The following is a 13,975-nucleotide window of genomic DNA, read 5'->3' on the forward strand; positions in this document are numbered from 1 at the left end:
TTCACGTAGCCTCCTATTAGCACTTACCGTCTTGCCCCTGAGCCTTCGTAGCTGTCATTTTTGATGTCTACATAATATTCTTTGATTGAGTACCCCATGATTCATTTTCTTTTCTCCTGCTTTTGGCCACTTTGGTTGTTTCCAATTTGTGCCATTATAAATAACACTGCAATTAACGGCTTTTATTTCCTCAGATACATTTGCATCTGTTTTATGAATTAAAAGCAGCTGAACTGACTTCTGTGTCATTCCTGTTTGAACAAAAATGGAATGTCCTGGTTTCGTAACGGGACAATCTAAATTTAGCCTCACTGACAGAGCTGTGCGACAAGGGGAACGGCAGAGTAGAGGTCGTAGAGCATTTCAGAAAAAGTCTATTTAGTTCATTTGTCCCACTTTGAGGAGAAGACGAAGTCTTGTGTTGCTCCAAAGTGAGCGCAAGATTGGTAACTTTACCCTTGACAGGAGTTTTTAAAAAAAAAAAATAATAAATAAATAAATAAATAAATAAATAAACAAACAGTATCATGGCCGGGCACGGTAGCTCACGCCTGTAATCCCAGCACTTTAGGAGGCCAAGGTAGGTGGATCACCTGAGGTCAGGAGTTCGGGACCAGCCTGGCCAACATGGAGAAACTCCGTCTCTACTAAAAATACAAAATTAGGTGGGCATGGTGGCGCACACCTGTAGTCTCACCTACTCGGGAGGCTGAGGCAGGAGAATGACTTGAACCCAGAAGGTGGAGGCTGCAGTGAGCCATGATCGCACCACTACACTGCAGCCTGGGTGACAGAGCGAGACTCTGTCACAAAACAACAAACAAACAAACAAAAACAGTACAACTTCCAGTTCTGTTCCTTTCTTCTGACCTTGCTATGCATGACCAAAGTGAAGAGCAACTATGAATGCATGATGTCCAAGTAACACTGAGAAGGTTTCTGGTTTTCGTATGTTTTGTCTCCACAGGTAAAGAAATGCCTGGTGAGGGGACAGCATGTATGTTTGTGTGGAGGGTGATGAATAAAGAAAAGTAAACCATGAGGACCCTCAGAAATTTAAAATAATGGTTCCAACATGGAGCTCAACAGACCAGGTGAAGAATAGATCAATGCACCTGAAAATGAATTATGGCCCCAATAATCAAGCTGCTCAAAAGGCATCTCATGTGAATTTCCTGTGTGAAGGATTGACAGAACAGAGGAGAGAGAGAAAATTAATAGTGAAATAAAACTACCCAGAGATAAATGAAGACACATGTATGTGTGTTGAATGAGTTCACTGGAAGCTGATCACAGTGAGTGAAACAGATAAGCGCTTACAGGCAGCACTGGGAAATTTCACAACAACAGGGGTGAAGAGTAAGTTCCAAAAGATTTCAAAGCAGTCTGGGTGCAGTGGCTCACGCCTGTAATCCCAGCACTTTAGGAGACTGAGGCAGGTAGATCACTTGAGGTCAGGAGTTCAAGACAAGCCTGGCCAACATGGTGAAACCCCGTCTCTACTAAAAATACAAAAAATTAGCCAGGCGTGGTGGCGGGCACCTGTAATCCCAGCTACTCAGGAGGCTGAAGCAGGAGAATCACTTGAACCTGGCAGGCGAAGGTTGCAGTGAGCCGAGATGGCACCATTGCATTCCAGCCTGGGAAACAAGAGTGAAACTCTGTCTCAAAAAAAAAAAAAAAAAAAAAAAAATTCCGAGGGAGAGAGAGGGGAGCAGGGGAAAGAGAGGGAATAGGAGAGAGAGGGGAGAGGGAGGAGAGGCAGAAGAGAGGGAGGAGAGAGGGAGAAGAAAGGAGAAGGAGAGGAGAGAGAGAGAGAAGGAGGGAGAAGAGAGAGAAAGGAAAGAGAGAGAAAAAGAAAGCAACTTCCCGGGTGGGCATGGTGGCTCACGCCTGTAATCTCAGCACTTAGGGAGGCTGAGGTGGGCAGATCACTTGAGGTCAGGAGTTTGAGACCAACCTGGCCAATATGGTGAAACCCCATCTCTACTAAAAATACAAAAATTAGCCGGGCGTGGTGTTGGGCACTTGTAGTCCCAGCTACTTGGGAGGCTGAGACAGGAGAACCCCTTGAACCCAGGAGGCAGAGGTTGCAGTGAGCCAAGATCACACCACTGCACTCCAGCCTGGGCAACAGAGTGAGATTCTGTCGAAAAGAAAAAAGAAAAGACAAGAAGAGAAAAGAAAAGAAATTTCCCTACAAAGAAACAAAAATTAAATTGGGTTCTGCTCCTCACTGGGGACAATGGATGCCGGAAGACAACAGAGCAGTAACCTCAAAAGTTTTGGAGATGAAAATTATTTTGAACTTAGCATTTTAGGCCAGGCGCAGTGGCTCACACCTGTAATCCCAGCACTTTGGGAGGCTGAGGCGGGTGGATCACCTGAGGTCAGGAGTTCAGGACTAGCCTGGCCAACGTGGTGAAACCTCATCTCAACTAAAAATACAAAAAAATTAGCTGGGCGTGGTGGCGGGCACCTGTAATCCCAGCTACTTGGGAGGCTGAGGCAGGAGAATCTCTTGAGCCCAGGAGGCGGAGCTTGCAGTGAGCCGAGATCATGCCACTGCACTCCAGCCTGGGCAACAGAGTGAGACTCCATCTCAAAAAAAAAAAAAAAAAAAGAAAGAAAAAGAAAAAAGAAAAATAGAAATAGATGTATAACTTTTTAATCTGTTAAAGGGTAGTTACTAGAAAAATAGAAACAGATGTATAACTTCTTTAATCTGTTCCTAAACTACTGGAGGAACAATAATAAAATAACCACTCCTCAAAGGACAAGAAATAAAGCATGAAACTATCCGTGGCTAGGTGTGGTGGCATACATCTGTAATCCCAGCTACTCAGGAGGCTGAGGCATGCGAATTGCTTGAATCCAGGAGGTGAAGGTTGCAGTGAGCCAAGATCGAGCTACCGCACTCCATTCTGGGTGACAGAGAGAGACTCTGTCTCAAAAAAAAAAAAAAAAGAAAAAAGAAAGAATATATGTATCAATTAGTGTCATACCAGCTGAGAGTTACAGACAACTTGATTCCCTGTGGCTTACAGAAAGAAGTGACTTGACTTTCTCGTGTTACAGAAAAGTTCAGACACGCCTGGCAGCAGACAAGGCTTGGAGCAGGGGTTTAAACAGTGCTCACAGGACTGAGTCTGTCCTTGTGTGGAGGCTGCCTTCCTCCACACTGCTCTCATCCTCAGGCCCTACACGGAGGCAGGTTACCTCCATCAGCTACTTCTGTCTTCCCAGTTCCAGTCCAGTGGGAAAGGGCCACCCTTCTACTAACAGTTCCACCAAATGCTCATTGTCCCTCATCAGCCTGATGGGCTTATGCGTGCAGGGGGACACAGGCTGTGATTAGCCAAGCCCTGAGCCACCTGCCCATCCTAGAATCAGGAAGGAAGTTGGAGTTGAGAGTGGCTTAAGAAGGAACATAGCAGCCAGGCGTGGTGGCTCACGCCTGTGATCCCAGCACTTTGGGAGGCTGAGGTGGGCAGATCACCTGAGGTCAGGAGTTCGAGACGAGCCTGGCCAGCATTGCAAAACTCTTTCTTTACTAAAAATACAAAAGTTAGCTGGGCATGGTGGCATGTGCATGTAATCCCAGCGAGTCGTGAGGCTGGGCCTGGGAGGCAGAGGTTGCACTGAGCAGAGATTGCACCACTGCACTCCAGCCTGGGCAACAGACCAAGACTCCATCTTAAATAAATAAATAAATAAATAAAAGAATGAGCCTGGCTTTAATTACATTTTAAAATAACTTACAGAGTGTAACTGGATTGTTTGTAACTCAAAGGATAAATGCTTGAGGGGATAGATACCCCATCCCCATGGTGTGTTTATTTCATATTGCATGCCTGTATCAAAATATCTCATGTACCCCATAAATATATACACCTACTATGTACCCACAAAAATTAAGTTAAAATATATATATAATGTATATACACATATATACATGTATATATATATATATATATATATATATATATATATATATGTATATATAAAAGAAAAAAGAAAGAATTAGCCTGACCAAGCACAGTGGCTCACACCTGTAATCCCAGCACTTTGGGAGGCCAAGACAGGAGGAACACTTGAGCCCAGGAGTTCAAGACAAGCCTGAGTAACACGTCAAAACCTTCTCTTTACAAAAAATACAAAAATTAGCTGGCACGCTGACACACACCTGTAGTCCCGGCTACTTGGGACTAAGCAACATTGCCTAGACATCGTCAGATCCCTCTCTGATCCCCTCTCCAGCAGAGGTTCTCTTGCTCTCCTCCCTCCGGTAAGTAGCTCCATCCCATAGCCTCTGAAGTTTGCATGCCATGAGGGACCGCCCCCTCCAGCAAATCTGTCAAGGCTTTGACCAAAGAAAACGTATGCATTCTACTGCCATCTTGTGGTCATGTCTTTTTCTTTGCTCAGCCTCCAAACCCCTCAAACCCTACAATTACCTCCTGTGCTTATTGAGGAATAGAAGGACCAGAGACATGGGGGATACTCCTCAGGCCACAGAGCTAGTCAGGGTGGTGCTAGGACTAGAACTTTACTCCCTTGACTCGGTGGCATTTTACTTTCACCCGCAGGTTTTCGCTGGACTTCCTGGTTTCACTAGACCGGGGGTCAGCAAACAACACCCCATGGGCTGAATCCGGCCCACTGCTCATTTTGTCAATAAAGTTTTATTGGCACACAGCCACACTGGTTTATGTATTGTCTGTGTCAGCTTTCTTGCTACAGCAGCACTGTTGAATAGTTGCAACGGGGACCACAGAGCCAGCAAAACCTGAAATATTTGCACTCTGGCCCTTTACAGAAAAGGTTTGCAGACCCCCGCCCCAGTAGTGGACCCTGCTAGTCCTGAAGGTAGATTCCAGTTTATAGAATCTCAGTGTGACATGATGCGATGGACTGAGATATAGCCAAACACCAACCACTTTGAAATTGTTGAAATAGTTGAAAATCCTTGCTCTCCATTTTTAACTCTGGATTGGCTCTGGGTTACAGACGCATGGGTTTTTAGTGCTGCAATAGATGCTTCCTTAAATCCACTACCTGATGCCCCCCCGTGAGGAGATCGGAAAGGCAAGCCTAGTTGCTCTTATTAGAAAAGAAACAGGCCGGGCGTGGCTGCTCACTCCTGTAATCCCGGCACTTTGGGAGGCCAAGTTGGGCGGATTGCCTGAGGTCAGGAGTTTGAGACCAGCCTGGTCAACATGGTAAAACCCTGTCTCTACTAAAAATAAAAAAAAATTAGCCAGGCGTGGTGGTGGGCACTTGTAATCCCAGCTATTCGGGAGGCTGACGTAGGAGAATCACTTGAATCCGGGAGGTGGAGGTTGCAGTGAGCCAAGATCATGCCACTGCACTCCAGCCTGGAAGACAGAATGAGACTCTGTCTCAAAAAAAAAGAAAAAGAAAAGGAAAAGAAAACAATAGCCAGCCCCAGTGTGTGTTGTTTCCATCTTTGTGTCCATGTATCCTCATCATTCAGGTCCCGCTTGTAAGTAAGAACATGTAGTATTTGATTTTCTGTTCCCACGTTAGTTTGCTAAGGATAACGGCCTCCAACTCCACCCATGTCCCTGCAAAGGACATGATCTCATTCTTTTTTTATGGCTACATAGTATTCTATGTTGTGTATATGTACCACATTTTCCTTATCCGGTCTATTATTAATGGGCATTTAGGTTGATTCCATGTCCTGGCTATTGTGAATAGTGCTGCAGTGAACATATGCGTGACATCATCTAGACTTCATCAGACCCACTCTCTGATCCCCTCTCCACCAGGAGTTCCTTTGCCCTCTCCTTTCTGGGAAGTGGCCCCATCCCATAGCCTCTGAAAGTTGCACACTGTGAAGGAGTTCTGTGTGTCTTTATGGTATGATTTATATTCCTTTGGGTATATACACGAGTTCACTTGTGGATATGGTTTGGCTGTGTCCCCATCCAAATCTCATCTTGAATTGTAGCTCCCATAATTCCCACGTGTTGTGGGAGGGACCCAGTGGGAGATAACTGAATCATGAGGGCGGTTTCTCCCATTCTGTTCTCATGGTAGTGAGTAAGTCTCACAACATATGATGATTTTATAAGGGGTCTCCCCTTTTGCTTGACTCTCTTTCTCTCTTGTCTGCCACCATGTAAGACGTGCCTTTCACCTCCCACCATGATTGTGAGGCCTCCCTAGCTACGTGGAACTGTGAGCCCATTAAACCTCTTTTTCTTTATAAAATACTCATTCTTACATGCACATGTATGTTTATTGCAGCACTATTTACAATAGCAAAGACTTGGAACCAGCCCAAATGTCCATCGATGATAGACTAAAGAAAATGTGGCACATATACACCATGGAATACTATGCAGCCATAAAAAAGAATGAGCTCATATCCTTTGCAGGGACATGGATGAAGCTGGAAACCATCATTCTCAGCAAACTAATGCAGGAACAGAAAACCAAACACGGCTTGTTCTCACTCATAAGTGGGAGTTGAACAATGAGAACACATGGACACAGGGAGGGGAACATCACACACTGGGACCTGTTGGGGGGTGGGGGACAAGAGGAGGGAGAGCGTTAGGACAAATCCCTAATGCATGTGGGGCTTAAAACCTAGATGATAGGCTGATAGGTGCAGCACACCACCATGACACATGTATACTTACGTAACAAACCTGCATGTTCTGCACATGTATCCCAGAACTTAAAGTAAAATAAATAAATAATTGCCCAGTCTCGGGTACATCTTTTTTTTTTTTTTTTTTTTTTTTTCCAGACGGAGTCTCACTTAGTCGCCAGGCTGGAATGCAGTGGCGTGATCTCGGCTCACTGCAACCTCCGCCTCCCGGGTTCAAGCGATTCTCCTGCCTCAGCCTCCCAAGCAGCTGGGACTACAGGTGCCCACCACCATGCCCAGCTAGTTTTTGTATTTTTAGTAGAGATGGGGTTTCACCATGTTAGCCAGGCTGGTCTCGATCTCTTGACCTTGTGATCCACTCGCCTGGGCCTCCCAAAGTGCTGGGATTACAGGCATGAGCCACCGTGCCCGGCCCCCAGTCTTGGGTGTGTCTTTATCAGCAGCATGAAAATGGATGAATACACCTATACAGCAAACCTATACAAGTACCCCTGCACTGAAAATAAAAGGTTTTTTAAAAAAAGAAAAGAAAGGCCTTAGTTCTTAAGCAATGACTAAAATGTGGGGAAACTCAGGTGGAATTCTGCAATGACACTGAAGTATCACGGTTCAATTTTAGACACAAAAAGCCAGGCAGGCAAAGACACCCACCATGAGCCAAGCTTTGCTGGGTTTGGGGAGGGAAGGGGACAATTGCTGTAATCTTGAGACTGAACAGTGCTGGAGGGAGGATTCAGGACAGCTTGGTAAGGGGCTTAAAAGATATTGACATGTACCCCAAATTGTATTTAATGGCATTTTGCTAAGTAATCTGGTTTCTGGTTTTAGATTCGGATTTTAGTTAGAAAGAGCTTATGCTGGGACACTGGACTGGACAGAAGAGCCACTTTCCTGCCTCACAGGGGCACAGTTTCTTTCTAGAATTCTCTTTGCAGAGCGGCTGTCCAAGATTAAATTGAAGCAGATGGGCCAGGCACGGTGCCTCACGCCTGGAATCCCAGCATTTTGGGAGTTTGAGGCAAGAGGATTGCTTGAGTCCAAGGTTCAAGACCAGCTTGGGCAACACAGTGAGATTCCTGTCTCTATTTCCTTTTTTTTTTTTTTTTAAGATGGAGTCTCACTCTGTGCCCCAGGCTGGAGTGCAATGGTGTGATCTTGGCTCACTGCAGCCTCTGCCTCCCAGGTTCAAGCAATTCTCCTGCCTCAGCCTCCCAAGCTGGAATTATAGGCGCCGGCCACCGCACCCAGCTATTTTTTTTTTTTTTTTTTGTATTTTTAGTAGACACGGGGTTTCACCATGTTGGCCAGGCTGGTCTCAAACTCCTGCCTTCAGGTGATCCACCCGCCTCGGCCTCCCAAAGTGCTGAGATTACAGGTGTGAGCCACTGCACCTGGCCTCCCTGTCTCTGTTTCTAAAAGAAATATATATATACTAATAATAAATAAATAAATAAATAAGAGGACAGACTTCTCTCTCCATTGCTTAAAAATCTCCTTATATAGCTGGAAAGTAGCAAATTGTAGGAAAGCAAGAGGAAAAGTCCTAGGGGAAGGAAGCCCAGCAATTCCTAAGACGTGTGATGTGTCCTAACCCCCAGCTGGTTGACTTATGTGCCTGAGGAGTCTGAGGACATGGCTACCTGGATCTCTGGGCATGAGTGCCAGTCCCTGGGACACCTCTCAGAGCCCAGCTGTCTGGAAAGGCCACCTGTGGGCATCTAATCCACAGCCCACCTGAGCCCTCCATGTGCACCACCTTGGACATCCAGCCCCATGCAGCCTGGAGATGCTGTAGCCCCAGCACTCTGGGCTGGTGACCCCATGAGAGGCCCTGCACAAGAACCGCCCCACCAAACCCTTCCCAAATTCCTTACCCATGAAATCATAAGCAAAACAAAAATGGTCGTTGTGAGCTGCTAAGCTTAGGGTTGATTTGTTGGGTAGCAGTAGCAATCTGGAACAACTGCCCAGAAGAGATATGCATCTGCCTCTGCTAAGGGAACTGCCGGGGAAGAGCCCCCAGTAGGGAGTCTGTATAGAGTTGCAGAAGGTGGAGAGAAAGGGAGAAAGAGAGAAAGAGGAGAGGGAGGGAAAGAGAGAGAAGAGGGAAAGACAAGAGAGAGGGGGAGAGATGTTACCAAAACACCAGGGGTTTGGTCTAGGCCCTGCTGCTCACTGCACAGAAAGCCAATCACTGAGACAATGAGTGTTGCTGAGGGAGAAGGCTTTAATCGGGTGCAGCAGCTGAGATGGGAGCTCAGTCTCAAATCCATCTTCTTGACCCACTAAAGGCCTTTCTTTAGCAGGGAAGAAATGTAACTATGTGTAAGAAAACAGGAACTCAGATAAAACAAAGCCAAGTTTCAAGCTTTAAGAACTTGATCAGATGGGTCAACTTCTATGTTTATCCAAAAAACAAAAAAACTTGTCTATGGGACTACTAGGTTGGTTTCAGAGACAGAAGTAGAGGGAGAGAGAGAAGAGGGAGAGAAGGCAGGGAGAGAGAATGGGAAGGGGGAGAGAGAAAAGGGGGAGGTAGGAGAGGAGAGAGAGAAAGGGGGGAGACAGGAGGGGAGAGAGACAAGAGAGAGAAAGAGAGCAGGGAGAAATAAGAAAAAGAGCAGGGAATGATAAGAGAGAGAGAGGAAAGGGAGAGAGGAGGGGGAGAGAGAAAGGGGGAGGGGGAGAGGGAAAGGGGGAGGAAGAGAGAAGGGGGAAAGAGGAGGGGAAAAGAGGAAGAAGAGAGTGGAGAGGGAAAGGGGGAGAGGAGGGAGAGAAAGGGAGAGGAGGAAGAGAGAGGAGAGAGAGAAGAGGGAGAGAGGAGGAAAAGAGAGGTGAGAGAGGGGAGGGAGAAAGAGGATGGAGAGAGAAGGGGAGAGAGGAGGGAGAGAGAGAAAGAGGGAGAGGGAGAAAACGAGGAGAGAGGAGGAAGAGTGAGGAGGGAGAGGAGGAAGAGAAAGGAGGGAGAGGGGGAGAGGAGGGAGAGAGAGAGGAGGAAGAGAGAGGAAGGAGAGAGAAAGGGGAGTGAGAAGGGAGAGAGAAAGAGGGAGAGGGAGAAAGATTGGGGATAGACAGGAGAGAGGGGGAAGGTGAGGGAAGGGAGAGAAGAGAGAGAAAGAGGAGGGGAGAGAAAAAGAGGTGAGAGGAGTGAGAGAGAGAGGAGGTGGGGAGAGAGAAAAAGGGCAGAGAGAGAAGAGAGAGGGATGTCTGCACATCTGATCTCCAGGTTCAGAGAGTCAGGAGTTGGCTGACAACATCCACAATGGCGAGCTGCCCTGTCCCTCCTCTCTCTAAGCTGCAGAGGGCAGGGAGGAAGCAGGACCATGGAGGGAAGACACCAGCCAGGTCTCCCCTTGCCCTCCGCAGGCTTCCAGCCCAAAGCAGCCCCAAACTAGAAGGGGGATTTAATGCTGAATCCAGCATGGAGCTTTAATTAACGTCTCAAATTAGACAATCTGTTCAGTGTTGCTCAACTGGCTTGAGACTGCTTTTGCTTCTGAAACTGACCTGGGACTGTCCCTTGCATAAGAGTGAACCAAAAAACCACGGCCAATCCAGTCTCAATTTGGGGGATGGGCGAAAGTGGAAGTAGGAGGAAAAAAAGCTGCGTTTGATTGTGTCTGGAATTGTGTATCTTCAACACAGTGAAGCCAGCCCTGTGAAATTCAGGATGTTTTCATCTCACGTGCTGGTTTCTAGAAGCCTCATCCTCCTGGATCCTCTCATCTGATTACACTTCAGGTTTATCTGGGCTTTTTTCTCTTAAAAACACAACATTTTTATAGACTGATGTCTAGACTTGCACCTTTTCAAATCTGAGTCTTTTTTTTTTTTTTTTTTAGACAGAATTTTCACTCTTTTTACCCAGGCTGGAGTGCAGTGGCACAATCTCAGCTCACAGCAACCTCCTCTGCCTCCCGGATTCTAGCGATTCATCTGCCTAAGCCTCCCGAATAGCCGGGATTACAGGCATGCGCCACCATGCCCAGCTAACTTTTTTGTATTTTTAGTACACATGGGGTTTCACCATGGTGGCCAGGCAGGTCTTGAACTCCTGACCTCAGGCTATCCGCCCGCCTCGGCCTCCCACAGTGCTGGGATTACAGGAGTGAGCCACCTCACTTGGCCTCTCTAAGTCTTTGTTTGAGTGTTTGTTCAGAGACAGAGTCTCTCTCTGTCACCCAGGCTGGACTACAGTGGTGTGATCATAGCCCACTGCAGCACTCCTGGGTTCCAGGAATCCTTCAGGAACTCCTCTTGCCTCAGCCCCTCCAGTAGCCAGGACTACAGGCATGTGCCCCCATGCTGGGCTTTTTTTTTTTTTTTTTTTTTTTTTTTGACAGGACCTCACTCTGTTGTTGCCCATGCTGGAGTGCAGTGGTGTGATCATGGTTCACTACAGCCTCAGACTCCTGGCCTCAAGCAATCCTCCTGCCTTAGCCTCCCAAAGCGTTGGGATTACAGGCGTGAGCCACCGCACCCGACATCCCTGAGTCCTTACATTGTTGCCTGGCCGTGCACTCTCTGCCCCCCACCACTCTCAGCACTTTGGAAGCATTTAATTCACCAGAAGTGTGACGGGGTGATGGTTTTACAGGTCCCAGGAAGAACACACAATGTCACACTCACATAAGTGTGCATGCTCACACCCAAATCAGACACTCCCTAAAGCTGTTCAGTGTTGCTCAGAAACACCCTCAAGAGATCCTTGGTGGGTTTGATTCCCGCCCTGCTCACACCGGCTTCTCATTCCCATCAGGCCCACAGTGCAAACCCCTTGAGCAAGCACAGCCAGTGGGGAAAGGCCCCTCGGTCAGCAGACGCAACACAGGCCCCGCAGTGACAGCTCTTCAGATTTTCACATTTTTCCCAAGATGTCAGAAACCTGGATTTTTTATTTTATTTATTTTTTGGTAACTCTCCTGATTTCTCTATGCTGGCAACAAAATAAAAATAATTTTAAAACATTCAATGAGCCAAGCAAAACAAATATATGCACCTGATTCCAAACGGGCTTACAACCTCTGATTGACAGCGAGGTCTCCTCCGTCATAAATCACAAGGGCGATGATGGCATTACCTGCATTGGAGCTGGATTCAGCAGAGAAAAGGAGGTAGGGCTGAGGAGACGAGTCACAGCCGTCTCTTTGCCATGGAAACCCCAGGGGAGGAGGCTTTTTTTTTTTTTTTCTGTAGTAAGAGATCAATGAGAGATTAATAATAATCCTGTACATTGATGTAGCACTTCAAACTTGAGTGCTTGCCCATCTATAATCTCATTTGATCCCCAGAACAGCCCCGTGAGCTTGTCAAGAACGCCTGACACTCTCTAACCTGATAAAGGGAGATAAAGACCCAGGCAATTTCACACAGAGAAAGAAAGAAGGTGGGGAAAGGTAATGGGAGGACCCAGGTTTTAGTGGAAGGGCTCAGAAAGAGTTCATTTTTCTTTGCTTTTGTCTGATATTGCTGTCTCTCTCTCTCTCTTTCTGTCTCTCTTTCTCCCTCTTTCTCTTTAAGAGACAAGGTCTTGCTCTACTGCCCAGACTGGAATGCAGTGATGCAATCATAGCTCACCGCAGCCTCAATATCTCAGGCTCAAGTGTTCCTCCCACCTCAGCCTCCTGAGTAGCTGGGACCACAGGCACGCACCACCACATCTGGCTAATTCTTTCGTTTTTTTTTTTTTTGAGACGCAGTCTCGCTGTGTCGCCCAGGCTGGAGTGCAGTGGTGCGATCTCAGCTCACTGCAAACTCTGCCTCCCAGGTTCAAGTGATTCTCCTGCCTCAGCCTCCCGAGTAGCTGGGATTACAGGTGTGCACCACCATGCCCAGCTAATTTTTGCATTTTTAGTAGAGACAGGGTTTCACCATGTTAGCCAGGCTGGTCTCAAACTCCTAACCTCAGGTGATCCACCCACCTCGGCCTCCCAAAATGCTAGGATTACAGGCGTGAGCCACCGCTCCCGGCCTAATTCTTTAATTTTGTTTAGAGATGGGATCTCACTATGTTGGCCAGGCTGGTCTCAAACTCCTGGCCTCAAGTGATTCTCCCATCTCTGCCTCCCAAAGTGCTGGGATTACAGACATGAGCCACTGCGTCCAGCCTGTCTGCTCTGTTATACCCTCTCTCTGTGATAGACGATTTTGCTTTGCAGTTGCAGAAGGCAAGAGACAAGGGTGTTTCTGCCGTGAGCGGAATGGCAGCAGCGGGAGTGAGAACACCAGCTGGCAAAACAAGACACAGCTGGCAAGATTTGCGAAGAAAATACGGCCTGGTGGTTGAGGATCCAGAGATGACCTTCACTGACTTGTCGATGCCACAAGCATCAAACCTGGCCCAACCTCCATGGAGTCCATTCGCATAAAACTCATTAACTGGAGCCAATCTTCACAATCTGGTGACTCAGAGGTAAATGTTCTTTTATCAAAAGTGGAGTGAACATAACCATTAGGATGGTTACTCTAAAAGAAAATAACAGAAAATTACAAGTGTTGGTGAGGATGTGGAAGCATTGGAACCCTTGTGCCCTGTTGGTGGGTATGTAAAAGGTGCGACCACTGTGGAAAGCTGAATGGCAGTTCCTTAGGAAAGTAAACATAGAGTAGCCAGGCGCGGTGGTTCACACCTGTAATCCCAGCACTTTGGAAGGCCAAGGAGGGCAGATCACCTGAGGTCAGGAGTTCGAAACCAGCTTGGCCAACACGGCGAAACCCCATCTCCACTAAAAATACAAAAATCAGCCAGGCATGGTGGTGCATGCCTGTAATCTCAGCAACTCAGGAGGCTACTAAAGCAGGAGAGTCAGAGGTTCTGATTCTGCCTGGAAGGCAGAGGTTGCAGTGAGCTTAGATCGCGCCACTGCACTCCAGCCTGGGCAACAGAGTAACACTCCATCTCAAAAAAAGAAAAAGAAAAAGAAAAGAAAATTAAACATAGAGTTACCCTATGACCCAGCAATTCCATGTCTGGGTATATACTCAAAAGAATTGAATGTACATGTATGTTTATTGCAGCACTGTTTACAATAGCAAAGATTTGGAATCAAACCAAATGCCCACCAATGATAGACTGGATAAAGAAAATGTGGCACATATACACCATGGAATACTATGCAGCCATAAAAAAAGGATGAGTTCATGTCCTTTGCAGGGACATGGATGAAGCTGGAAACCATCATTCTCAGCAAACTATCACAGGAACAGAAAACCAAACACTGCATGTTCTCACTCATCAATGGGAGTTGAACAATGAGAACACATGGACACAGGGAGGGGAACATCACATGCCAGGGCCTGTCAGGGGGCCGGGGGTTAGGGGAGGGATAG

The 13,975-nt window shown here is 47.0% G+C and overlaps 1 long non-coding RNA gene across 1 annotated transcript in view; it reads left to right on the forward strand.

The window, feature by feature from the left end:
- The window catches only part of LOC124901579 (uncharacterized), a 41,965-nt gene extending 40,715 nt beyond the window's left edge, over positions 1-1,250 (forward strand). The window contains exon 2 of the long non-coding RNA XR_007060198.1: positions 968-1,250. This is a non-coding gene — a long non-coding RNA (uncharacterized LOC124901579). The remainder of the gene's footprint in view (positions 1-967) is intronic.
- Positions 1,251-13,975: the final 12,725 nt, after the last annotated feature.

The sequence above is a fragment of the Homo sapiens genome, chromosome 7 (assembly GCF_000001405.40).
Source record: "Homo sapiens chromosome 7, GRCh38.p14 Primary Assembly".
Taxonomy (NCBI): domain Eukaryota; kingdom Metazoa; phylum Chordata; class Mammalia; order Primates; family Hominidae; genus Homo; species Homo sapiens.